The 25,905-nt window shown below is 49.7% G+C and overlaps 1 protein-coding gene and 1 long non-coding RNA gene across 3 annotated transcripts in view, besides 5 other annotated features; both read left to right on the forward strand.

Moving 5' to 3' along the window:
• LOC107987065 (uncharacterized) overlaps positions 1 to 3,446 on the forward strand; it is a 65,083-nt gene extending 61,637 nt beyond the window's left edge. The window contains exon 3 of the long non-coding RNA XR_001746670.2: positions 3,201 to 3,446. This is a non-coding gene — a long non-coding RNA (uncharacterized LOC107987065). The remainder of the gene's footprint in view (positions 1 to 3,200) is intronic.
• Positions 3,044 to 3,992: an enhancer, noted in NCBI's record as "OCT4-NANOG-H3K4me1 hESC enhancer chr9:38380800-38381748 (GRCh37/hg19 assembly coordinates)". NCBI's record gives its function as "activates a minimal SCP1, AML or CMV promoter by ChIP-STARR-seq in primed H9 embryonic stem cells {active_cell/tissue: H9 hESC(primed)}" and the evidence as "EXISTENCE:reporter gene assay evidence [ECO:0000049][PMID:30033119]".
• Positions 11,093 to 11,387: a silencer, noted in NCBI's record as "tiled region #2586; K562 Repressive non-DNase unmatched - State 7:EnhWF". NCBI's record gives its function as "represses a minimal TATA promoter and a strong SV40 promoter by Sharpr-MPRA in K562 cells {active_cell/tissue: K562}" and the evidence as "EXISTENCE:reporter gene assay evidence [ECO:0000049][PMID:27701403]".
• Positions 14,710 to 15,029: a silencer, noted in NCBI's record as "silent region_19918". NCBI's record gives its function as "represses an Ori minimal core promoter by ATAC-STARR-seq in GM12878 lymphoblastoid cells {active_cell/tissue: GM12878}" and the evidence as "EXISTENCE:reporter gene assay evidence [ECO:0000049][PMID:35858748]".
• Positions 14,943 to 20,902, forward strand: ALDH1B1 (aldehyde dehydrogenase 1 family member B1). Of its 2 annotated transcripts, none has more exons than XM_011517802.3 (2): positions 14,943 to 16,806; positions 17,981 to 20,902. In XM_011517802.3, exons 1-2 carry the CDS (start codon positions 16,675 to 16,677, stop codon positions 19,541 to 19,543), a joined length of 1,695 nt encoding a protein of 564 aa, XP_011516104.2. In that variant the 5' UTR covers positions 14,943 to 16,674; the 3' UTR covers positions 19,544 to 20,902. The 2 variants fall into 2 exon arrangements, with proteins under 2 accessions (XP_011516104.2, NP_000683.3); NM_000692.5 differs by having other exon boundaries at positions 14,943 to 15,048.
• Positions 15,240 to 15,289: an enhancer, noted in NCBI's record as "active region_28415". NCBI's record gives its function as "activates an Ori minimal core promoter by ATAC-STARR-seq in GM12878 lymphoblastoid cells {active_cell/tissue: GM12878}" and the evidence as "EXISTENCE:reporter gene assay evidence [ECO:0000049][PMID:35858748]".
• Positions 15,330 to 15,419: an enhancer, noted in NCBI's record as "active region_28416". NCBI's record gives its function as "activates an Ori minimal core promoter by ATAC-STARR-seq in GM12878 lymphoblastoid cells {active_cell/tissue: GM12878}" and the evidence as "EXISTENCE:reporter gene assay evidence [ECO:0000049][PMID:35858748]".

A 25,905-nucleotide genomic window follows, 5' to 3' on the forward strand; every position in this document is an offset into this window, starting at 1 on the left:
CTCCCCTCGGGGCAGGGCTGTGGACCTGCAGCCCACCATGCGTGAGCCTCCTCCACCCCTCCATGGGCTCCTGCGCAGCCGGAGCCTCCCTGACGAGCAACGCCCCCTGCTCCACAGCGCCCAGTCCCATCGACCACCCAAGGGCTGAGGAGTGCGGGCGCACGGCTGGGACTGGCAGGCAGCTCCACCTGCGGCACCAGTATGAGTGGGATCCACTGGGTGAAGCCAACTGGGCTCCTGAGTCTGGTGGGGACTTGGAGAACATTTATGTCTAGCTAAGGGATTGTAAATACACCAATCGGCACTCTGTATCTAGCTCAAGGTTTGTAAACACACCAATCAGCACCCTGTGTCTAGCTCAGGGTTTGTGAATGCACCAATTGACACTCTGTATCTAGCTACTCTGGTGGGGACTTGGAGAACCTTCGTGTGGACACTCTGTATCTAGCTAATCTAGTGGGGAGGTGGAGAACTTTTGTGTCTAGCTCAGAGATTGTAAAGGCACCAATCAGCACCCTGTCAAAACGGACCAAGCAGCTTTCTGTAAAATGGACCAATCGGCTCTCTGTAAAATGGACCAATCAGCAGGATGTGGGTGGGGCCAGATAAGAGAATAAAACCAGGCTGCCCGGGCCCACAGTGGCAACTGGCTCGGGTCTTCTTCCATGGTGTGGGTTCCTTGTTCTTTTGCTTTTTGCAATACGTCTTGCTGTTACTCACTCTGGGTCCACACTGCCTTTATGAGCTGTAACACTCACCGCAAAAGTCTGTAGCTTCACTCCTGAAGCCAGTGAGACCACGAACCCAGCAGGAGGAATGAACAACTCCAGAGGCGCTGCCTTAAAAGCTGTAACACTCACTGCGAAGGTCTGCAGCTTCACTCTTGATCCAGCGAGACCACGAACCCACCAAAAGGAAGAAACTCCGAACACATCCGAATGTCAGAAGGAACAAACTCCGGACACGCCACTTTTAAAAACTAACACTCACCGTGAGGGTCCACGGCTTCATTCTTGAAGTCAGTGAGCAAAGAACCCACCAATTCCGGGCACACCACCGCTACATCTACCATATGCTGTTGGTCACACAGACCATCCCTGATACAGTGTGGGAGGGAACCCCACAATGCAGGCAGCTGGGAATACCAGGAGGCAGGGTTCACTGGGAACCATTTGGAGGCTGGCTACAACATTCTTTAAAAAAAAATTTTACTTAGACCAAACTGATATCAACCAACGTGTTTTTGGCCCAATGGCCTTCAGTTAGATCACAGATGGTTATGTGGAACCTGAATGGAGACATTCAGGTCCAACAGTGTCAGTTTCTGGTGAGGGCTGTCTTCCTCGTTTTCAGATGACTGCCTTCTCCCTTTCTTGCTGTGTCCTCACAAAGTAGAAGAAGAGATGGGAGAGAGAGAAGGAAGGGGGGTGGGGAGAAAAGGGAGGGGGAAATTTGACACAGAAGAAGGAGGTGACAATGTAACACTAGCAAGACGAGAGGGGAAGGAGCTATGAAATAAGGAATCCAAGAAAAACAGCTTTAGAAATTGAGAAAGGCAAGGAAATGTCTTCTCTCCTGGAGCCTCAGAAAGGAGCAGGGCCCTGCTGATGCCTTGAATTTGGCCCAGTGAAACTGATTTCACACTTCTGACTTCTAGAACTGCAAGAGATTGGTTGTGTGTGGGGGGTGGGGGGGAGGGGTTGGTTTTTGGTTTTTGTTTTTGAGTCAAGAGTATCACTCTGTTGCCTAGGCTGGAGTGCAGTGGCTCGATCTTGGCTCACTGCAACCTCTGCCTCCCGGGTTCAGGCAATTCTCCTGACTCAGCCTCCTGAGTAGCTGGGACTACAGGCGTGCACCACCACGCCTGGCTAATTTTTGTATTTTTAGTAGAGATGAGGTTTCCCCATGTTGGCCTGGCTGGTCTCAAACTTCTGGCCCCAAGTGATCCACCTGCCTCCACCTCCCAAAGTGCTGGGATTGCAGGTGTGAGCCACTGCACCTTTCCTTGGACGTGTGTGTTTTGAACTGGAAATTTGTAGCAATTGTTACAGCAACAATAGCAAAGGAATACCCTGCATCATATCCATTTGGTACCATCAGGAGAGTTTAGAGCAGGAAAGAAAGCACACCTGTGGTCCCAGAGCTGCATGTACTAGAGGTTTCAGGCTCACAGAAGATGATGTTAAGGGGAGCAGATACTTTTTGCAGGGTAATGAGTTGCACTGATTTCCAGCATGCTCAGGTGAGGCCTAGTGGAGTCAGACCTCCCGGGGTAGAATCCACCACTCACTGGCCATGTAACCTTGAGCAAATTCTGCAACCCCATCGTCTCAACGCTGGCTACATATTAGAATCACCTGGAGCACCTCAAATTATACCCATGGCTAAGGCCTACCCTGAGAATTCAAGTTGGCCTCAGGAGAGGGGCTTAGGCACCAGTACTTTTTATTTTAATCTTGTTTTTAATGGACCTTCAAGAATCAGACCAGAATCAGTACTTATTAATATAAGGCCCCAGATGATTCTAATATGTAGCCAGCACCAAGCACCACCCCTATCTCTCTAAATCTGTTTCCTCCTCTAAAATAGAAATCAGTGTTAGGTTACCCCACGTGGGTGTGATGAGCCTCAAGTAAGGTAATCCCTGTAAAGTGAGTAGGACATAGTAAACCACCAATTCATTACTGTGACTCACGACTGACTCCCTGTGGATGTGCAGTGGTCCTTTTCCCTCTTGGGTCTCAGTATCCCCACCTGTACCTGGATCATCTTTCAGTGCCTCCTGCTATATCCCCTCTTATGAATAGAAAGATTCAGTAGATCACTTACTCAGTGACCTTTTCAGGTGCACTAAAACCAAGCATTTCACACCTTAGGGAGACACAAGGCAGGATCTAATCAGAACTCTGCATCCCTCGGGCTTGGTTTAGGGATTCTAGTGCCACATTCAAAGCACAGAACAGGCGCCTGGGCCAATGTCACCTTGGTAAGTGTCTGCCTCCCAGCGTGCCTTAAGGTTGCAGGAAATTGCCTATTTACACGTATTCTGCTCTGACAGGCACACCAGAATTTTAAAATCCTCCTTCAGGTTTCTCACAGATAAGATGGGGAACTTTGTTTACTATGGATTCCAGGGCTTCCTGAAGAGGAGGCCTTTGAGTTTTCGAAAATAATTGCTTTTCCTCTCCTGTGCTCTCCAGGGGTGGTCTTTGGCCGGAGGAAGAAATGGCTTTGTTGCTCAGGAGAGCTTTGGGAATGGAACTCAGGGGCTTCCAAAGAGCAGCAATCAGGAAAACAAGCAGGGAGGATCCAGGTTTTGCAAGGCCTGAAGCCTGCACACTAGGGAGCCCCATGCTCTGTGAAGGAGAGAACAGTGATAAGAAGAAGATAATGATTCAGCAGCTTTGCAAACATTGTTTGGTGAATAAACAGCCCCGTTCAGTGCACCGGTTTCTTCCTCCCATCATGGGACAGGTGGAATGTGATCTGAGATGCCAGCCTTGGTCAGCTGGAGGGTTGTTCAGCTGCCTCGTGACTCCTCCTCGGTAAGAGTGAAAGAGCCTTTCATTCCCTAAATAAACATGTCTATTAGAGGCATTGATCTGTCCCCAGCAGGCAGTAATTGCACCTCAAATGCCACAGATGCACAGCCTGGGGTTCTACTCCACCCCGCCCTGCCCTGCCCTGCCAGTCTCCCTGCCTGGCCTGGGACGGACCCTGACCCTCCTTGGGGTTCAGGCTCTTCTTCTGTACAGAGTCACAAGGCTGTTAATTCATATTCTTCCCATCACAGGGATGAACCCCTCTGGCTCAGTCATAAATGATAATATAAGACTCGTTTTCCATGGAAAAGCCCTAGTACAGCCATACGGGTACTTTAATACAAAATGCTCACCTACCAGTTTGTAAGCAGCCCCTCTCTGAGCCCCTAGGTGCCACCTCCACTCTGTCCTCACGGCCCTTGGCCTGGGACCCCCTGAACTTCCGCATGACTCACCATGGCCAACCAGATCACAAGGGTTAGGGTTAGGGTGAGCACAGAATTACAGCCAGGCTTTGTGCCCATGCTCCATTCCTCAGTATATCAAATCTCACCCCTGGGCCTGGGCTGGGGCCCCTGCACAGGCTCCAGCCCTTCTTAGCCTAGAGAGAGGCTTCTTGAGGAGATTCTCCCATCCTTTAACAGCAGAATCCAGCCTGCCTGGATTCACTGAACAGGAGTGCAGCTGGGAGTGGAGCCATTTCTGAGCCGGTGAGCCCTGATCTGTCTGCTTCTACCTTCATTTCTAACAGGTATTTCTGGCCCAAGAAGTTGGGCCTGGGAGGACAGACCCAGCCCAACCATCCTCCTGTGAAGGACCCTTCGTGACGGGGTGGAGGCCACACTCTCTGGCTCCTGCTCCTGATCACTTTCCTTCCCGTTCCTCATGAACATGTCCAGGCATCAGCCCAGGGGCAGATCTAGGAAAGCCTGGAGCCACCGGGCCCCTTGGAGCTTCCTCAGGGGCCACCAGAGGGTGGGGGCCCGGTAAGCAGCTCCCTTGCACCTGGCTTAGTCTGTAATCTAGTGCAATCCCTTCACCGTGAGGATAATTGGGCCCAGAGGGCTCATGGTGAGTCAGACAGCCTGGGGTCCAGTCCCCAGCTGGGGGCTTTGCCCACAGCACCTTGTGCCCTCTCTCCTTTGTGGGTCTATCCTCGTCCTCACACACGTTGTCTCTCTGTTCCAGGGAAGGAGTATTCCATGGCCCATAATCCGTGTGAACAGATAGACAACGGGAAGCATCTTTGTTATTCCAACACTGGGGCAATTTCTTTCACCAACCCGTAGCAGAGGCCTTAATGAGGCTTCAGTCTAGCTGAAAAGGTTGTCCAAACCCCACACGTAGCACCAGGTGAGCCATAACTAAGACTGGACTATATGTGGGCTCTCACTTTGGACCCTATCCAGACCTTCCCACTCACTCCCTGTGGGATCTACAGAAGTCTTTCCCTTCTCTGGACCTTAGTCTCCTCATCTATACAATGGTGATGTTGGACCAGAAATTCTAAGGACCCCCTTTCTCCTGATCTGTTCCTGATTCTATAAGGCCAGGGGTGGGAACAACCATCCTGGAATCCTCTCAGGAAAAAGCTGCTCAGGCAGGGTGCAGTGGCTCACGCACTTTGGGAGGCTGAGGCGGGCAGATCATTTGAGGTCAGGAGTTTGAAACCAGCCTGGCCAACATGGCGAAACCCCGTCTCTACTAAAAATACAAAAATTAGCTGGGCATGGTGGCATGCATGTGTAATCCCAGCTACTTGGGAGGCTGAGGCACGAGAACACTTGAACCCAGGAGGCGGAGGCCACAGTGAACCGAGATGGTGCCACTTCACTCCAGCCTGGGTGACAGAGCAACACTCTGTCTCAAAAATAAAAAAGAAAGGGCTGCTCTTCCTTGATGACTCACTGAGGTACACCTATGGTGGGACCTTTAGAATCAGATTTGGAGAGGGGAGACAGTGCAAAGTCAGTCACCTCCACTAGCTTGCCTAGTGCTTTTAAGAGTGTGGCATTCCAATCCATCACATTCCTGGAAAATAGTCAACCCTCTGCAAAAATAATTTGTGCATTTTACCTTCAGCTACTGCACGTTGGTTCTTCTCTCCAAACCATAAATGTCAAGCACTGTGGAAGGTTTTCTTTTTATTACTTTTTATTTTTGAGGGGGTAAATACCTTGCAACAGGACCACTTTGGTGAGTTCTGATGCCAGTCACAGCTTAGAAAGTGTCAAGGTAGTCATGCTGGATAGAATCTAGACACAACACATTTGCAGGCGAAGTCACTTTCTGGAAATAACCATGACGGAGTCAAAGACTCCTCAGAAACCACTTAGGCCAGTGCTTCCCAAATATGGTTATATATCAGAAGCATATGAGAAACTTGGCCAGGTGCAGTGGCTCATGCCTGTAATTCCAGCACTTTGGGAGGCTGAGCGGGGTGAATCACTTGAGGTCAGGAATTTGAGACCAGCCTGGTCAACATGGTGAAACCCCGTCTCTACTAAAAATACAAAAATTAGCCGGGCGTGGTGGCATGCGCCTGTAGTCCCAGCTACTCAGGAGGCTGAGGCAGGAGAATTGCTTGAATTGGGGAGGCAGGGGTTGCTCTTCCTTGACGACTCACTGAGGCACACCTATGGGGGGACCTTTAGAATCAGATTATCAGATTTGGAGAGGGGAGACAGTGCAAAGTCAGTCACCTCCACTAGCTTGCCTAGTGCTTTTATGAGTGTGGAATTCCAAGCCAAGCTTTGCAATTGCAGATGCACCACTTACCAGTGAGTAATTTTCTCTTTCTGAACCTCAGTGTCCTTATCTGTCAACCAGAGCCAGTAATCTTTTCCTCATAGCAGAGTTGGAGGGGTCTGTGACAGAACCTCCTAGTTAGCCCCCAGTGTCTCTCTTCCCACCAAGCCACAGAAATGAAAGCCCCAATATTCTGACCACCCTAAAGACTCTATTTCCCAGCATGCCTTGCAGATAGTTGTACCATGTAGGTAAGTTCTGGCCAATGGGATATAAATGGAGTTGTTTGGGGGTTAGCTTTGGGGAGCCTTCCTCTAAAGCCAGAGGCATGCACACTTTGCCCTTTTGTCTTCTTCATTCCCACCCGCCTTCTGATCCCTAGAATGTAGATGTGGTGGCTGCCATTTGGGATCATGAAGACAGTTTCCCCTGCTAGGGGTGACCAGTGGGAATTGGAAGGGGTCCACCTCCTTGAGCATCATTGAGCCACCTCCCTCACCTGCTTCCCTCTGGGCTTCCTTTACTTTTTTAGAGAAATCAACTCCCATCTTATGTAAGCCATTTTTATACGAGTCTCTGTTACTCAGAGCTGAACTTACTCCTCACTCACTGCCATAGGATCTGAGGAAATCAAGTGGTTCTCATCTAACCAAGTCACCCTTATGCCTTAAATCCCTCTGATACTGACAGGAGGCAGCCAAATGCCTAGGCAGATAGGAGTGGTCCCCAGTGAAATCCCACCTCCAAGCCAAAGACAGTTCAAAGCCTAAAAGCCAAGCTACAAGTTAGATCCTTGGACCAGACTGAGAACCTGTCTTCCCATTTGGCACACCTTCCTCTGACTGATCACACCCTTCACCTATTTTACACAAGCCTACCCTTTTCTAATTGGTTTTCTACACTCTCATGCCCTCCTTTGGGTGGTGTCTTCGCTTTAACCTTTTTTGCATGCTCACAAACCAATTAACACGCATTCCCCATTCTGAGTCCATAAAAAGCCCCAGACCCAGCCACACTGAGGAGAGAAACCACCCAGCTGCAGGGCTGGGGGACCAATTCCCACATCCCCTCTCTGCTGACAGCTGTTCTATTGTTCAATAAAATTCTTCTCTGCCCATCCTCACCCTTCTACTGTCAGCATGTCCTCATTCTTCTTGGATGTGAGACAAGAGCTCAAGAACTGCTGAACACAGGTACAAGCTATAACACAGGTGGGACAAGTGGGTAGGGTGTCTCTAACGGCAGGCCTGGGACCCAGAGAGGCCCAGGCAAGGGGGACATCGCTGACCAGAGGTCCCAGCTGGCAAAGTGACTGAGAAGCATCCTGTGTCACTTCTGTGCCTCCTCAGGATACATCCAAACTCCTTAGCAAGGCACTTCAGGCCTTTCATGATCTTGGCATGATCTATGGCTCCAGACTTGGCTCTCAATGGCCCCCACTTATCCCATCACAGCCCAGGCACCAGCCAGGAGGAGGTTCTTACTGCACCCAAAGCCACAGGGCTCCCTCTCATTTCTGACCTTTGGCACATGCAGCTCTGTCTTCCAGAAATGCTGTTTCTCCCCTTGATTCAGCTTTCAAGAATCAGGTCAAGCATCAGCTCCTCCAAGAAGCCTCCCCTGACCTTCCCAGGCTTTGTGTAGTTGTTTTGTCCCATTTCCTGTTTCTCTGCTCTCTTGGCACCACTCTCTGGGTTCTCTTTCTCACACTGTGTGAGGGAAACATGCCAGTCTCCATGTCTGTCTGCCTCCCCAGTCTGTGAGTTGCCAGAGGACAGGTATGATGTCTTATTTGTCTCCACACGGCAGGGCCTGGCATAGGTGGGTCAGCAGTAACAGGAGCTGAGTGAAAGAAGGAATGATGAGTGGCAGATGCTTGCTGATGTGGACACTGCTGGGCCTGACAAGGGACTGTGCTGGGGAAACTGTCTTTGAACCAGAAAGAACTAGCTAGAGACAGAGAGGCAAAGTGGAAAGCAAGGGTAATCAGCGCTCACTGCAGCTCCCATACTCTGGTCACCTAGGCATCAGCCCTGTGGATCCAAAAAGCCTTTGCGCCCTCCTTGGCAGATCTGCCCTGCTGTCATGGATGGTAGGGCAGCATTTCAGGCTCGCTCCATCAGCAAGTGTATGAAGATACACTGGGTCCCTGCCAATACTTTGTACTTCAACCATTGCCTTATAGTGGCCCATAACCAGCCATAACAGGATGGGAAAGTCAATTGACTGGGTTTAACAAATAGCATGCATTTAGGCTCCAACATTTGTGGCCCAAGGACTCTGCTGCCAATGAACAAATGAACACTATGTAACAGCTTTACTACAACTTTCTGGGGCTTCAGTCTCCTAGAGGCCCTTGTGTCCTTCTCCTCCTATACCCCTCTTTTTACAGTGGCGATGACTGAGGCCCAGAGGGAGGTAGGTGGTGGCTCAAGGTCACACAGAAAGGCTGGAACCAGCACCCAGGCTCTGATAGCCTGCCAGTGCCCTTTGCACCAACTCTACTAGGTTTGGTGAGGGCTATTCAATAATTAACCGTGGATTCTGAGAAAGACATGGACCCCTCGGGCCCAATCATGAGGTCATAAAAGAACAGATTCATTACACAGTGTTTGAGCCCAGAGGACACTTGCTATTGACTTGGTAACATAATCTTTTTTTTTTTTTTAACTTTTTATTACCAGAAATTTTAAATATACACAAAAATAGACATTATAATGAACCCCTTTGTGCCAGCAGCTGCCAGCGTAAGTAATTATGAACACCTGCTGTTCTTGGTAACATAACTTGGAATCTTATTTCCTCCTTGGAAACTGGAGGAGACACACACTATAAAACACTATAACCAGAATGATCATTTCAAATTGCAAACTGGATTGTGTCAACCGCCCTTCCTTCTCCCTCAAGACCCTTTAATAGAATCCTCTGGTCCTGGGATGAAGATGGAGCAGAGCTCCTACCCCAGACCTGGACAGCTGTCTCTAGACTTCTTTTAAGTGAGAGAAAAGTACACTTCTCTTGTTTAAGCCACTTTTATTTTGGGTTTTCTCTGATGTCAGTAGTTCTCAAAACTGGCTACACAATGGAATCAATGGAAGAGCTTAAACACAAAACAAAACAACAACAAAACCAGATAACCCAGAACAACACCCAGGGACTCCTAGCAATGTGGAGTGTTGCTCAGGTGTTTCCAAAGACTCTCCCAGGTGGTGCTGATCCACAGGCATAGTTGAGAACCACTGTTTCATCATATGCATCCAATCTAACTCTAACTGGTACAGGCTCGGCTGAAAGGTCATCTTCTCCCAAGAAGTCTGGGGAGGAACTCAGGGCTGCCTCTTCTGTTTCCACAGAGCTTGGTGCTAATCTTTATTAAGTGTATCAGGCTGGGCATAGTGACTGATGCCTGTAATCCCAACACTTTGGGAGGCTGAGTCGGGAGGATTCATTGAGCCCAGGAGTTTGAGACCAGCCTGGGTAATATGGGTGAGACCCTATCTCTAAGAAAAATTTTAAAATTAGCCGAGTGTGGTGGAGGTCAGAAACTCAAAGTGTCTCCTTGGACTAAAATCAAGGTGTTGGCAGGGACGAGTTTCTTCTAGAGACACTGGGGGAGAAGCCTGTCCCTTGCCTTTTCCAACTGCTTGCATTTGTTGTCTTGTGACAGCATCACCTGACCTCTGCTTCCATCCCCACATCTCTTTCTCTGACTCCTGTTTCCCTTCGATAAGGACCCTTGTGATTACATTAGGCCCTGGCTATACAATCTAGAATAATCTCCCACCTCCAGATCATTAACTACAATATCCTCTTTTGCCATGTAAGGTAATGTCTTCATAGGTACCAGGTGTTAGGACATTGACGTCTTTAGGGGCCATTATTCTGCCTACCACAATCAGTGTACATAAGGTGAAGCAATAGGGAGTGGTGAGGCCTGTGGCAAACTGGAAAATGAAAGCCCTGCCTAAAGGGGGCAGCTACTACGTGCATCTCTAGTTGAGCCACTGTTCCATATCCACGTGCAGGCCTGATAGTACTAAGTCTTCCAATGTTTCAAGAACAAATAGAAAAGTACATTTTAATGTCAAATATCTCAATGTTTAAGCATTAGAAAGCATAAAACGGGGAAAAAAAACCCCACAACTCTGCTGGGGCCAAATAGAACATGTATGCTGGCTTGAGACTTGGGCTACCAGTTTGTGGTGTCTAGTCTGGAGCTTCTTCCTCACTAGGACAGTTAAGGCAGCATTACTTTATTTTGTGCTGCTTGTCACCTTGTCAGTGGGAGAAGAGACAGGCAGGTGTGAAGCCCAGGCTCTCTCTCAGGCCCCAGGGTGGTGTTGGTATTTCCCTTCCATTTACCACCCACGTTCCTCCCTTGACCTCTGTCCAAACTCCTCCTCATCTCTCCAAAAGAAGGAGCTCCCAAGGTTGCACGTGGCTCTGCCTTCAATTACTGTTTATTTCATTTGCATGTGGCTTTTCTCCTTGACCTTAACATGAGGAGGGGAGCCACAGCCAGGGCAGCGTAGTAAAAGCTGAGCCTTTTGCTCTGCTAGGGTGAACTCTAACTGTGCTTTACAGGTGCTATTGCCACACGTAAGCACTGCAACAGTCTTCTCTCCCTGCCCCACCGGACCCCAACCTCCTCCTCCTCTCAGTTGGGTCTTCCTTAGTCTCAATGATGCTGTCAGTTAAGGTGTGGTCAAGAAAATGGAAGCCACTCTAGGTGTTTTGAGTAGGAAGAGATTAATATTAACACAAGTGTTGGGAGGCTGGGAAGTGAAGGGCACTAAGCTATTGTCAAGAAATCTGGAAGTGCTAGGATTATAGGGAGGCTACTACCAGTGTTCTCTGCAGTCCACAGTCATGAACGGAGCACTCCTTAGGGGGGCCTTCAAAGCCTTGGGTAGAAATCCACCTCTGCAGATGCCCACGCACCAGCTGCATGTTTTGCTTCCAGGCCAGTGTTATTTGTGTGATTGTGCAAGAGCTTGGCTTCTAGTCTGCACTTGGATACTAATCCCCTAATCCCTTCCAAAGGGACCTTGGGCAAGTCCCTTTTCCTTTTTGGGTCTCAGTTTCTTCAACCATAAAAATGAGGTGAAGGGGAAGGAAGACAGAGAGGGAGGAGAACAGAGTTTGTGGCAAATACTCAGGGGTTAGTTATGTTCAACAACATTCAGACTTGCTCATGTTCACAGAGAGTAAGCTTCACTTAGAGGATCACTTAGGAAAAAAGAAAAAAGTATATATTGGTTTGATTTTTAAATGTATCTTTATTTTTAAATTTCCATTTCCTGCAAATGCCTCAGTGTCTTGACCTAGTCTTGCCTCTTCCGTTCAAATACAGAAAATGATTATGCTCAGTGTAGAAGAAACACTCAGTGCAGCTTTCAGTCCTTTTGTTTGGAATCTAGCTGATCTGTACGTCATTCTCAGAGCTGGATTCTTCTTCAGTAACTTCTTAGACATATAAGGCTCTACAACGCTGAAGGATAGAAATTGCTTCTCTTCTCCCACCAGCCCAGTGTAAACACATCCCTGGACGACACTGACCTGACTGTGGCTTGTGTTATCTCACCCTTTCCCCTTCAATCCACACAGGCTCCAGGTCCAATATCCTTACAAAGGGCCTGGATCTTTTTTTGTTAATTAAAAAGCTGAATCCATCACATTCCTGGAAAATAGTCAACCCTCTGCAAAAATAATTTGTGCATTTTACCTTCAGCTACTGCACATTCATTCTTCTCTCCAAACCATAAATGTCAAGCACTGTGGAAGTTTTTTTTTTTTTTTTTTGAGGAGGGGTAAATACCTTGCAACAGGACCACTTTGGTGAGTTCTGATGCCAGTCACAGCTTAGAAAGTGTCAAAGGTGGGCATGCTGGATAGAATCTAGACATAACACATTTGCAGGCAAAGTCACTTTCTGGAAATAACCATGACGGAGTCAAAGACTCCTCAGAAACCACTTAGGCCAGTGCTTCCCAAATATGGTTATATATCAGAAGCATATGAGAAACTTGGCCAGGCGCAGTGGCTCATGCCTGTAATCCCCGCACTTTGGGAGGCTGAGCAGGGCGGATCACTTGAGGTCAGGAGTTTGAGACCAGCCTGGTCAACATAGTGAAACCCCGTCTCTACTAAAAATACAAAAATTAGCTGGCATGGTGGCACGCTCCTGTAGTCCAAGCTACTCAGGAGTCTGAGGCAGGAGACTCACCTGAATTGGGGAGGCGGAGGCGGCAGTGAGCCGAGATGGCACTGTTGTACTCCAGCCTGGGTGACAGAGTAAGACTCCATCTCAAAACAAAACAAAACAAAACAAAACAAAAAAGGAAGCATATGAGAAACTTAACAAAAACTTCTGGGCTCCAACCTACATCTAATAATTTAGACTCTCTGAAGGCAAGGTCCAGGAGATTGTTAAAAAACAAAAACAAAAACACAAACAAACAAAAAAAACTAAGCTCCCCACTCAATTCTGATGTATAGCTAAGTTTGGGAGCCCCTTGTCTAGTTCTTATCTGAACTAGGATTTTGCCACATGGTTATCTGTCCTTCCCTGTACTCCTCCAGTGATGGGAGGCCCACTGCCTTTCAAGGGAGCCCCTCCCAGCCTTAGCCAGTTCTGCTTTTTCTGGGAGTTATTCCTCTGTATTCTTCACTGGTCTGGCTCTGCCTTCTAGGACCCCACAGATCCTATCTGGTTTTGCCCTTCAGAGATTTGGACGGCACAGCCTTGTCTTTCAAGTTCTAAAGGGTGAACATCCCAGTTCCTTCAGCTGCTCCTCAAGGGGCACAGCCTCCAACCTTGCCGCATGGGGGTCACTTCCTGTCTGCAGCTGGCCTCTCAGACCTGCCACAGTTTCCAATGCACTCTAACACGAGGACTGATACTCATTTTGCCATAAACTCACTCCCTCTATCAATGAGGCCTCTTAAGGATTGGTCAGTTAATCATTAAGTCAATCAGTCCTGGAGTGCTATGCCAAGTGCCCAAGGGGAGCTAGGCTGTCCACGTGCTGTGGGGGAGGCAGGAGGGCCTTGGCAAGGGGCTCATGCCGTTGCTGGAGAAACCCGAGGAAAGCATGGGCATCAAGGTGATAAGATGCCAATCATAGTGCCTTCATGGATGGCTAACTTTTGCAGCAAGGGCTGTGAACATGCTAAGGATGATATGGTAGCAAAAGATTCCATAGAGATGTAGCTTAAGGAAAGAACTAAGTGAATTAGGTCCAAGCAGTCGCATGTGAGCACCCTAGATCAGTGGAGAGGCAGGGATTTAATACAAGGAACTGGGTGCTTACAGACCTGCTGCAAGTGCCGGAGGCAGAAGCAAGCCTTAGCCAGACCAGGACCAACTCTCAGGACAATATGGACGTGGCCCACCAGCCTCGTGCCTGTCTGAGGCTACTTCAGACACCCTCCTGCAGCCTCCATTCAAAGAGCAGGAAGCCAGGTCAAGGAGCGGCTACAGCCACAGCGGCCGGTCCACAGCCAGAAAGCTGGAGAAGGGACAAGGAATGCTGCCGCAGAACATCTCCCATTTCTGCTATCCTGCTAGTGCCACCCTACAGGGGCAGGACAATACCCTCCAATGCGTGCCCGCCTTCCACATCCGGCAGAGTACTACTAATTGGCAGCACCTAGTCCACATCCAGAACTCTAACTGCAAATGAGGCTGGGAAACATGGCGGTTAGCTTTGGGACCTCCCTAGCCAGAAGGAAGGTGCAGCGAGGGTGGAGCGAGTGAGATGCATGTTCAGTGGTCCATCTTGGCAACCTTTATAGCAACAAAATGGAGACAATTAAATGTCCAACAGTTTACCCCTACAACAGAATTCTATGCCACCTTGGAGAGGATGATGTCATCTGTAATTAGTGATAGGAGAAAACTTCAAAATACAGCGCTAAGTTTTTAAATTTTTTTTAAAGCAGCACAACAGAGGTTACTATATGATTTTATTTTTATTAAAATAATTTTGAAAGATGCAGAGGAAACAATACTAGCAGGACGAACACCGTAATAATGGCTACCGTAGGTGAAGAGATTACAGGTGATATTTTTCTTCTTTTTTCATCCTTTCCTGTGTTTTCCAAGCTTTCTACACTGTGCATACATTCTTTTTGTCCTTAGGACAAAAATGTACTTTGAAAAATGCCCAAATATAAAATCTTCTTGAAGGAACTGAAGAAAGGAGCAGTGAAAGTGGAGGACAGAAATTAGTGAATCCTGGACAAAAAAAGTGAGGGAGAGGCGAGGCAGAGAAGGGGTTAAGGGGAGTCTCAAGGATGGCAGTCGATTAAGCAGCGTCTTGCAGCGGGGAGAAATGCAAAGTGTAGTTGGGGTTCGGTCTCCGAAAACTTTGCTGTGTGACCTGGGGAAGCCCCTGCCCCTCTCTGGGTATCTCTGTTTCCGCTCCCAAACCAGTGCCTTAGGAGCCTAGATCTGAGCAACGTGGACACTGGGCTTGCGGAGACCCGAGGGAGGGAGCGCTGAAGCGGTGCGGGCTGCCGGGGGTAGAGGGGCGGGGACCGGGAAAGACCGGGCGGGGCGAGGGAGGAGCGGCCTTGGCCGGCGACAGGACGTAGGCAGCGCCCCAGGCGCAGGCGGAGCCTCATTGGCCGCTGAGCCCCGGGCTGCGCGGAGGCGGGACCTGCGGCCAGCCCTGGGCGGCCATGTGGACAGAGCTGGGAGGGCCGGAACCAGAACCCAAGCGTGATCCTGAACCGGAGCCCGAGCCTGCTGCAGGTAACTAACGCTGGTCTCCCCTCGGCTCCCTCGGGAAGCCGCAGCTCCTGGCTCCGCGTGGGGGCTTTCCTCTCTGGGCCGCGGCGTCCGCATCTGGGGGCTGGCCTTTCCGCCGTTGCACTGTAGGACTCTCTCCACGTCCCCTAATCCCATCCCCCGCCTCTGGGTGACGCTACAGGAGCCCCGAGGACACAGACGCCCCCAGACCTTACCACGTTAGCTCGACCTCAACACTCCTGCCCACTCGGCCCACTTCAACAGAGGGCCCCTGACCATAGCCCAGAGGCTTGGACAAGCCCAAAGGTTGCGCCCTTTCCCCCGCAGAAGGGGTGAGGTGGGCGCCGCTGCAGTTCCCGCGGATAGAGAAGGTCCGGTCCTTCCCGCTGTGGGTGAACTGTAAAAAATTGCCTGTATTCAGGAGGATATGCAAAGCTAGGTTTGTGGAAGTCTGGGGTGAGGCTCCTATACTTTCTTGCTGTGTGTCCTCGGTGAGTCCCTGAACCTCTCTGATGCCCAGCCTTCTTCCAGAATGGGGGTCATCATCAACCCTGACCACCCAGGGACTGCAGAGAGGCTTGGCAAATTTCCCGTGAGAAGACAGCCTGCAAACTGTAAAGCATGATGCTCTGTGAGCTGTGATCTTCCTATCAGCAAGTGGAGGCCCCAGCAAGAACCCCATATAGGCCCCAAGAGTAGGAACGGCCTTGGTGTGGCTGCAAAGGTTTGCCAGCCTTGGCCTATGACCACCTCTCCTGACTGCTTCACCCCTCCAATCCTTACCCCATGGGTTGGTGACTCCCCTTTCCCCTACCTCCTTTTGGTCTCCTCACCCTCAGAGCCAGGCCTGTTGGTGGCAAGGGGGCTGTGTCCCAGCATATGGCAAAGTCCTGAGCTAAATGGAACCCTGGGCACCCCTGGCAGATCTGCTGACTCAGCTTCCCCCTGTGGGATATGATGAGGTTTCTCTTCAAATAATCTGATCAATCTTTTATTCTTTAATTCTTAGTATCCCCCCCTTTTTTTTTTTCATTTTTCTCCTTTTTGCCTTTGTTAGATGCCCAGGCATGCCACAGTACCAAGCGTTATCAGTACCAGCTCACATTCCTTTGCTTATTTGGAAAGAAGACTAACTTTCTAGCTCATTACAGACACCCTTTCCCCTTTCTCTCCACTTTCTTTTACGTGCCCACTCTATCTAAAATAAATCAAATGTTTAGCCAACCGGGATTAGTTTAGATTGTACGACCTGACCCCAGCCAATGGGGAAAGGGTACAGGGGCAGGACTTGCATCAGGAATAAAGGCTCTCGTGCCCCTTTGTTCAGGTGTGCTCTCATGGCAACTGGCCAAGGAGGCATCCCTCTGCGCAGAAGTAAAATTGCTTTGCTAAGAATCCTGTGTTCGAGTGTTCAATTTCCTTAGGATTTTGAGCATTATTCCTAACACCCGCAAGGGGAAGGGAAACTTTCTTGGTCAGCATTGATTATTATTATTTTTTTTAGATACAGTCTTGTTCTGTTACCCAGGCTGGAGTGCAGTGGCACAATCATGGCTCACTGCAGCCTCAACCTCCTGGGCTCAGGTGATTGCCCCCACCTCAGCCTCCCAAGCAGCTAGAACTACAGGCATGCACCACTATGCTCGGCAAATTTATTTTTGTTTTTTTGTAGAGACACGGTTCTTGCTATGTGCTCAGGCTGGTCTCAAACTCCTGGCCTCAAGCAGTCCTTCCACTTCGGCCTACCAAAGCGTTACCAGCGTAAGCCACCACGCCCATCACATTGATTTTTATGGGGCCGGGGACCTACATGGAGCCTTGCTTTCCTGATTGAGTTTTTTGTTCCTCTCCCTGCCCAGGGGTGGAGGGTGAGAGGCTGGGGGTGAAGGGACAGGCAGGTGCAATTCCATTTTACCGCTGGGCGGAGCAAGACTCATGAGACATCAAAGGCAGAGAGATTCAAATTCTGACTGAAGAATAACTGCTTCAACTAATCTGGGAACACTACACTCTGTTTAATTTTCATTTAATATGTATTATATGCCGTTTAAGTTTTATAACAGTAGTTGTTTTAACGAAGTCTACACTCTTCAGAGTTGTAGCTTTTCTTCTCAGCTGCCTCCTGACTTGCTGCACCTCTGGGAAAGCTGAAAAGGGATGCTGAGACCTGTGGTTGGGGGATGCTGGGCTAGGTCAATTTCTGAGGCACGGCCAGTTCTGATGTCCTGAGTGGAGCTTGCCAGGGTTTTTATATGCAAGACATCATTCAACATAACCCCATGAGGCATTTCACATATGGGGGAACTGAGGCACAGAGGTGAAATGAAGCAAGTCCCTCTCAGAGAACAACCATCTCCAAGTCCCTTTGATTTCTACTCAAGTCTTAGGTCAATTCTTAGACAGCCTTTGTGGCAATTTCAGTGTTTTCTCAGTGTATCATTCAGTACTGTGTGTTGAGCCGCTGCTCTGTAGCAGGCATACCTCTAGGCTCGGGGACGTAGCAGTGAATGGAACAGAAAAATAAGTTCCTGTGCTCATGGAGCTTGCATTTTACTGGGGGGAGACAGACAAACATATAAGCCTGTAAAGATAGTATTTGGGATGTGAGATAGAGAAGGAGTAAAGCAGGGTAGCGGGGATAGAGAGTGTTGGGGTGGGAAGGGTTGCAATTTTTTAAAGGGTGGTCAGGGAAGGCCTTGCTGAGACAGTGGCTTTTGAGACCCAGCAGAGGTGAGGGAGTGAGCTGAGGATAGGCGGGACGTGATGGAGTTGGCCCAGAGAGTTCATCAGGGCCCTCACAGCTCTTACAGTCTGTGTTTTTAGAGGTGACAGTCCTTTATGCTGGAATCTTGAAATGTTTGAGCTGGTGGGCCCTTGGGTACCGCCACCTGCCTTCTCCCACCTGTTCACCCTGGTTTCTTTTGTCCCTCTCCAGAGTGTCAGCATGCTGCGCTTCCTGGCACCCCGGCTGCTTAGCCTCCAGGGCAGGACCGCCCGCTACTCCTCGGCAGCAGCCCTCCCAAGCCCCATTCTGAACCCAGACATCCCCTACAACCAGCTGTTCATCAACAATGAATGGCAAGATGCAGTCAGCAAGAAGACCTTCCCGACGGTCAACCCTACCACCGGGGAGGTCATTGGGCACGTGGCTGAAGGTGACCGGGCTGATGTGGATCGGGCCGTGAAAGCAGCCCGGGAAGCCTTCCGCCTGGGGTCCCCATGGCGCCGGATGGATGCCTCTGAGCGGGGCCGGCTGCTGAACCGCCTGGCAGACCTAGTGGAGCGGGATCGAGTCTACTTGGCCTCACTCGAGACCTTGGACAATGGGAAGCCTTTCCAAGAGTCTTACGCCTTGGACTTGGATGAGGTCATCAAGGTGTATCGGTACTTTGCTGGCTGGGCTGACAAGTGGCATGGCAAGACCATCCCCATGGATGGCCAGCATTTCTGCTTCACCCGGCATGAGCCCGTTGGTGTCTGTGGCCAGATCATCCCGTGGAACTTCCCCTTGGTCATGCAGGGTTGGAAACTTGCCCCGGCACTCGCCACAGGCAACACTGTGGTTATGAAGGTGGCAGAGCAGACCCCCCTCTCTGCCCTGTATTTGGCCTCCCTCATCAAGGAGGCAGGCTTTCCCCCTGGGGTGGTGAACATCATCACGGGGTATGGCCCAACAGCAGGTGCGGCCATCGCCCAGCACGTGGATGTTGACAAAGTTGCCTTCACCGGTTCCACCGAGGTGGGCCACCTGATCCAGAAAGCAGCTGGCGATTCCAACCTCAAGAGAGTCACCCTGGAGCTGGGTGGTAAGAGCCCCAGCATCGTGCTGGCCGATGCTGACATGGAGCATGCCGTGGAGCAGTGCCACGAAGCCCTGTTCTTCAACATGGGCCAGTGCTGCTGTGCTGGCTCCCGGACCTTCGTGGAAGAATCCATCTACAATGAGTTTCTCGAGAGAACCGTGGAGAAAGCAAAGCAGAGGAAAGTGGGGAACCCCTTTGAGCTGGACACCCAGCAGGGGCCTCAGGTGGACAAGGAGCAGTTTGAACGAGTCCTAGGCTACATCCAGCTTGGCCAGAAGGAGGGCGCAAAACTCCTCTGTGGCGGAGAGCGTTTCGGGGAGCGTGGTTTCTTCATCAAGCCTACTGTCTTTGGTGGCGTGCAGGATGACATGAGAATTGCCAAAGAGGAGATCTTTGGGCCTGTGCAGCCCCTGTTCAAGTTCAAGAAGATTGAGGAGGTGGTTGAGAGGGCCAACAACACCAGGTATGGCCTGGCTGCGGCTGTGTTCACCCGGGATCTGGACAAGGCCATGTACTTCACCCAGGCACTCCAGGCCGGGACCGTGTGGGTAAACACCTACAACATCGTCACCTGCCACACGCCATTTGGAGGGTTTAAGGAATCTGGAAACGGGAGGGAGCTGGGTGAGGATGGGCTTAAGGCCTACACAGAGGTAAAGACGGTCACCATCAAGGTTCCTCAGAAGAACTCGTAAGAGCAGCTGTCAGGGAGGCCCAGTCACAGTCCAGCAATTCCACAACCACCTTGACGAATGCTTGCCAAGCTGTTTTAAAGCCAAGAACACCCTTTCTTTGTTCCAAATTAACTCTTAGAAGAAACCCCACAAATAAAGCAATTCAATCAAGGCTGTTCTATTTAAATCAGAGATGGGGACCAGGCTCAGAGTTCTACCTATCTAACCCCCAACCACAGCCCCCTTGGTGGCCCATGAGTTGCTTCCATGAAATCTTAGGAGTCTCTGGAGGACAGATTAAAAACCAGTGATCTGTAATTTGTAGCTCTTCCTGCTGATCCAAGGACTTTCCCATGGGTGCGCTTGATGGTTTAGTGGATCGACTCAACTCAGAACACAAGCTTGGAAAGTGTTAGGGGTTTTGAACTAGGTGGATACTAAATCTCGGCCCCACTCTTCATTGGCTTAACCTAAAAACCAGAGGTGCTTTTCCTTGTCTGTGTGCCAGTTGCTGGCTGTTTTAGTTGCTTGCCCTTCATTTTGCTACTGATTTTCCTTAATTTGTGGGAAGGAGTAGGCAAAGAATATGCTTACATGATTACACCTGTAAAGTAAGCCCAAACATCCCAAATGTCCGTCAACTGATGAGTGGATTAATAAAATGTTTCCATGGAATATTCCTTGGATTACTCAGCCATAAAAAGGAATGAAGTACTGACACATGCTGTGACATCAGTGAACCCTGAAAACATCCTTCTCAGTGAAACAAGCCAGAGAGATGTACAAGGCTACAGACTGTATGATTCCATTTATATGAAATATACATACTAGGCAAATCCATGGAGATGGAACATAGATTAGTGGTTGCCAGGGGATAGAGGAGTAATTGTTAGTGGGCATGGGATTTGTTTTTGGGAGGTTTTGAAAATGTTCTGGAGTTGAACAATAGTAATGGTTGCATGATTTGGTAAAAATACTAAAAACTATGGAATTGTTTAATTATGGTATATGAATTAATTTCTTTCTTTTTTTCTTTTTTTTTTTTTTTTTTGACACGGAGTCTCACTCTGTCGCCCAGGCTGGAGTGCAGTGGTGTGATCTCGTCTCACTGCAACCTCCGCCTCCCAGATTCAAGCGATTCTCCTGTCTCAGCCTCCTGAGTAGCTGGGATTATAGGTACATGCCATCACACCTGGCTAATTTTTGTATTTTTAGTAGAGATGAGGTTTCACCATTTTGGCCAGGCTGATCTTGAACTCCTGACCTCAGGTGATCCACCCGCCTCAGCCTCCCAAAGTGCTGGGATTACAGGTGGGAGCCACAACACCCGGCCATGAATTAACTCCGTTAAAAAATAAACGTATACATTCTGTGAGCAAATCCATTTTGTCTCCATATTGTCCTGCTGCTGAACATTTTATAGAGTGTGGGGGATGGAAGGGACCCAGGTGGTCTAGTCAACCCCCAGTCAGGTGCAAAAGTCCCCTCCCCAATGTTTCTGTTTTTGTTTTCTCTTGGATGGGTGACAAAGTGCAACTGTAAGACCCGTAGAGAAAAACTCTGGTTCCTGCTCAGAATGGGCCCATCTTGTTGGACTCGTTTCCACAGCCCCCCACCCCTTCCAAACCATACCCACCCTTCAAGCCAAGCCTAGCATGGGGGCCACCTTGACATGCTGGGGATTTCCAGAGTTTCAAACCTCAGAGTTCATAATGTTTATTGTTAGTCTTGCTACATTCATTCCCCAACTGATGGGAGTGAAGGCAAATCCAAGCCAGCCAGGCCACAATACAGAAGCAGAATGCTGAGCCTCCCTCTCTCGGTCCATCTTTCTAGACCATGCTGCTTACAAGCCACCTTACGTTCAAGTCCCCCCATTCCTGTAAATGCACACCCCACTCATCTCTGCTTCCCAGGCTCAAGCAATCCTCCCACCTGAGCCTCCCAAGTAGCTGGGACTACAGGCACTCACCACCATGCCTGGCTAATTTTTTTTTTTTTTTTGGTATTTTTTGTAGAGATGAGGTTTCACCATGTTTCCCAGGCTTGTCTCAAACTCCTGGTCTCAAGCAACCCTCCTGCCACGGCCTCCCAAAGTGCTGGAATTACAGGCATGAGCCACCATGCCTGGCCCCAGTCAACTCTTAAACATCCTATTGTCTTACCTAGGCAACATGATGATTTTGTTTATTATCATAACTTGGGTTTGGCTGGAAACTGCTGCTTGAGGGTTCAGAGTCTGTTTGGTTCCCTCACCTCCCTTCCTAGGACCTCCTTTCTACACCATTTGTCTACAGCTAAGGTGACCCTGACACTCCCCCATAGTGCACCTTCTACGGATTTCTCTGGGAGGCTGTTGGCACCTCTGTTGCACAGCAGCGAAAGTTTCTCATAAACGCACTGGGACATGGAAATGGGCGGCTGGGTGTCTCTAATGATTAATGTGCAACATCACAATATTTTAACAACTCCATTCCTTATTTAAGTTTCAATACTCCTTAACCAAAGACGAGCTCTGTAGACAGTGTTCCAGTATGGAATGGGATTGGAAAAGACAATCTTCATGGTCCCTTGTTTTGAGCCCTGAAATTCTGAGAGTGAGGAGCCTGTAGGTCAGATTGTTAATAAACTCAGCCATCACGGCTCCTCCACCCATTTTTAAATTCTTTTAAAAATTTATTTATTTATTTATTTATTCATTCATTCATTCATTCATTGAGATAGGGTCTCATTCTGTTGTCCAGGGTGGGTGCAGTGGCACGATCATGGCGCACTGCAGCCTCCACCTCTTGGGCTCAAGCAATCCTCACACCTCAGCCTCCTGAGTAGCTGGGACTACAGGCATATGTCATGATGCCTGGCTGATTTGTGTATTTTTTGGAGAGACAGGGTTTTGCCTCATAGCCCAGGCTGGTCTTGAAGTCCTGAGTTCAAATGATCTGCCCACCTTGGCCTCCCAAAGTGCTGGGATTACAGGCGTGAGCCAGCAAGCCCAGTCCCCTCCACTCATTTTACCACTGTGCTGAATGCACAGACTTGTGAGCAGGGAGGTTTAACTGGGTGTCCTCATTCAGGCCAGACACTGCCCACCAGACTCACACTTGGGAGATGTTGCAATTCTGGGGCTTCCATCCACTTAGCAAACTCTCACCAAGATCTTACTCCATAAACACTATGCCAGGCACCTTGCCATGCTATGGAAGCCTCACAACCATCCTATAAAGCAGGTAGTGGAGTAATGGAGTTACCACCCCACTTTTTTCAGGTGAGGGAAAGGAAGTGGAGAGGTTTAATAGGGAACTCTTCTGGAATCAGTTCCCCATGAGCATGCACGAGGGACCAGAGAGCGGCGCATACTGGCAAGCACATGGAACCAACCCTCCAAGCCTGGAGAACCCACGGCAAAGCCCAGCAAGCCCTACACACCCAAGCCAGCCACTGTGCTGGATGCATCAGAGCTGCTGCTCAGTCCCACCGGTTCTCCTCAGACCCGGGGCCATTTAGGAACTTTCATTTGGGTTGGCTCCATTCTGGGTGTGAGGCTGACCTCTGGTGGCCACCTGATTCATTAATTCACACAAGTAACTCTTTGGTTTAAGAAAAAACAAAGGGGTTGGGTGGGGGGCGATGGTCCTGCTCTAGGCCTATTGTTGGGGGAAAGAGAATTGAGTAAGACAGTCCCTTCCCTGCAGGAGCTCACAGTTGGGCAGGGGAGACAATTACAGAGCCGGGTGGACAGTGCAGTGAGAAGCACAGAGGCCGTGAGATCATGAGCGGAAAGCAAGCCTCTGTATCAAGCACACACGGTGGGCCACCTCCCTTCATGCTTCTTTCTTTTTTTTAATTTCGTGATGGAGTCTCGCTCTGTCTACCAGGCTGGAGTGCAGTGGCGCAATCTTGGCTCACTGCAACCTCTGCCTCCTGGGTGCCTCCTGAGTAGCTGGGATTACAAGCAGACACCACCACGTCCGGCTAATTTTTGTAGTTTTAGTAGAGACAGGGTTTCACTTTCTAACTGCCATCAGGGCCCTCAGTATTATTCTTCTGCACTTGATAGACATCAAGCCTGGGAGGTGTTCAGCAGTGAGTGGAGACAGGCTCAAGCTCAGGTCCTCTGATTCTGCCAGACACCGCTGCCTCCCAGGGCTCCCAGCTCAGTTCAGGCACAGGCCCAGTGGGAGTGGGCATGGGGTCCTGCTAAATGACTAGCAGGGGACCAGAGGGATAAGGGAAGGATGCTCCTGGAGTCTGAGAAATATGGAGGGTTGGAGGAAGGGCAAGTTTTTCCATGAGGAGGAAAGAGGCAGGGAGGAAAAGCATGGGGGCAGGGGGCAGGCAGGGGCTGGACTGTGAAGGGGCTCGTGCATCCTTTCAGAAAGCTCACACTTGGTCTAGCAATGGGAGGGTGCTTTTTGGTTTTGCTTTTGTTTTTTAAACAGGGTCTCCCTCTGCCACACAGGCTGGAGCACAGTTGCTTGATCATAGCTCACTACAGCTTCAAACTCCTGGGCTCAAGCGATCCTCCCACCTGAGCCTCCCAAGTAACTGGGACTACAGGTGTGTGCCATCATGCTGGGTTAACTTTTTTAACATTTTGTAGAGATGGGGGACATCTCGCTGTGTAGCCCAGGCTGGTCTTGAACTCCTGGCCTCAAGCAATCCTCCTGCCTCAGCCACCCAAAGTGCTGAGATTACAGGTGTGAGCCACCATGTCTGGCTGCCCCCGAGGGCTTTTAAAGGAAAGTGATAGGATCACATTCGGTTTCTGAAGCTGGCTCTGCTTCAATGTGGAGGATAGATTGAGGGAGTTGACCTGGAGTCAGCACCTCTCAGGACATTGTTGCTTGCGCCCAAAGTGATGCTGGCACACCAGGGTGTGGGGTGGGGGCAGAGTCTGGACAGCCAGAAGGCAGGCTTCAGGGCATGATGACAGATGGACAACTTGGCACAAGAGAGGAGAGAAAGTTGGGTAACCTCATGTTTCTGGCTGCAGTAACCACGTGGGGGGTAGTGCCAGCCACTGCAACCACCCTGGAGGTTGCACGTTTAGGGACACGGTGGGACTCTTACTTATGTATTCCTTTGTTTAACACATTTTATGGAATGTTGTCTATGTGCTAGGAACTATTCTAGGGGCAGAGGATACAGCAGGAAACTAAAAAAAAAATAAAATCCTGAACATCCTTTCTGATAGAAGAGGCAGACCATATGCAAAACAGGTGAAATCGTTAGTCTGTCAGGAGGTGAAGGGTATTATAGAGAACAACAGTGCTGGGAAGGGAATAGGGAAGTGGGTGGGATGGAGTAGACATTGTAATTTTCAGTAAGGTGCTCAGAGGTCGTCTCACCAAGAGACTGGAGCATGCCTGGAGGCTCCAGGAACACAGGAGAAGGCCAGGTGGCTGGCATGGAGCAAGCCAGGTGGGGAAATAGGACAGAGAAGTCACAGCCTGAGGGGGGCAGAGGGCTGGTGTTTGGAGGTCACCGTGTGGATGGACTGACGGGGGCCTTTACTCTGAGGAAGGAGCCACCAGAGGCTTTTGGGCACAGCGGCAACATGATATGACTTGTTTTAAAAGGATCACTGGGGCCGCTATGTTGAGAACAGTTTGTAAGGGGAGCAAAATCATTTGACCTTAAGAATGCCAACAAGGAGTGAACAGAGAATGAGGAGGAGCAGGAGGAAGACCCAGGAGAGATGAGGCAAGAAGCCAAGGAAGGCGGGGTACTTTCCGGGGGAGGGAGCCCCCAGCAAAGCCTGAGGCTCCCAAGAGGTCAAGTAGGAGGAGCACTGAGCAATGTCCCTGGCTGCAGCCACCAGGACTCCCTGTAGACCTTGGTAAGAGCAGGTGGTGGAGTTGGGCACAGAAGCCAGAAAACCTGGGTTGAGAGTGTCACTTAATCCTCCCAAGCGCCAATGATCTGTACATTAGTCCTGGAGTTAGGAAGACCCTCAAGGGAAAGCAAGAAGTCCTGGTATGAGGCCCTTTGAGAGCCTCTGGTGCATCCCACCTCACTTAGCCAGAAATGTGGACAGAGCAACTTGGACAAGTTGCTCCCAGCCAAGCGTTCTTCCCATGTGTACTGGCATAATGTTAGCCGCCACAACAAATAACCCCCCAAATTTGAGGGTTCAATACGACGACTATTTAGTTTTGCTTATGTAACAGTCTAATGCAGGTACCTGGCAAATTGGTATTTTCCTTCCACATGGAGATTCAGGGACACCGGTTCCTTTCGTCTTGTGGTTCCACCATGTACAACGGTTCTTAACCTTTTTTTTTTTTTTTTTTTTGAGACGGAGCCTTTGCTCTGTTGCCCAGGCTGGAGTACAGTGGCGCGATCTCGGTTCACTGCAACCTCTGCTTCCTGGGTTCAAGCAA

Source organism: Homo sapiens, chromosome 9 (genome assembly GCF_000001405.40).
Source record: "Homo sapiens chromosome 9, GRCh38.p14 Primary Assembly".
Taxonomy (NCBI): Eukaryota; Metazoa; Chordata; class Mammalia; order Primates; family Hominidae; genus Homo; species Homo sapiens.

Coding starts and splice junctions, on each gene's coding strand:
- ALDH1B1 (XM_011517802.3), top strand. CDS start 16,675: ATGCACCACTATGCTCGGCAAATTTATTTTTGTTTTTTTGTAGAGACA. Junction 16,807..17,980: donor CCTACCAAAGCGTTACCAGC/GTAAGCCACCAC, acceptor GTCCCTCTCCAG/AGTGTCAGCATGCTGCGCTT.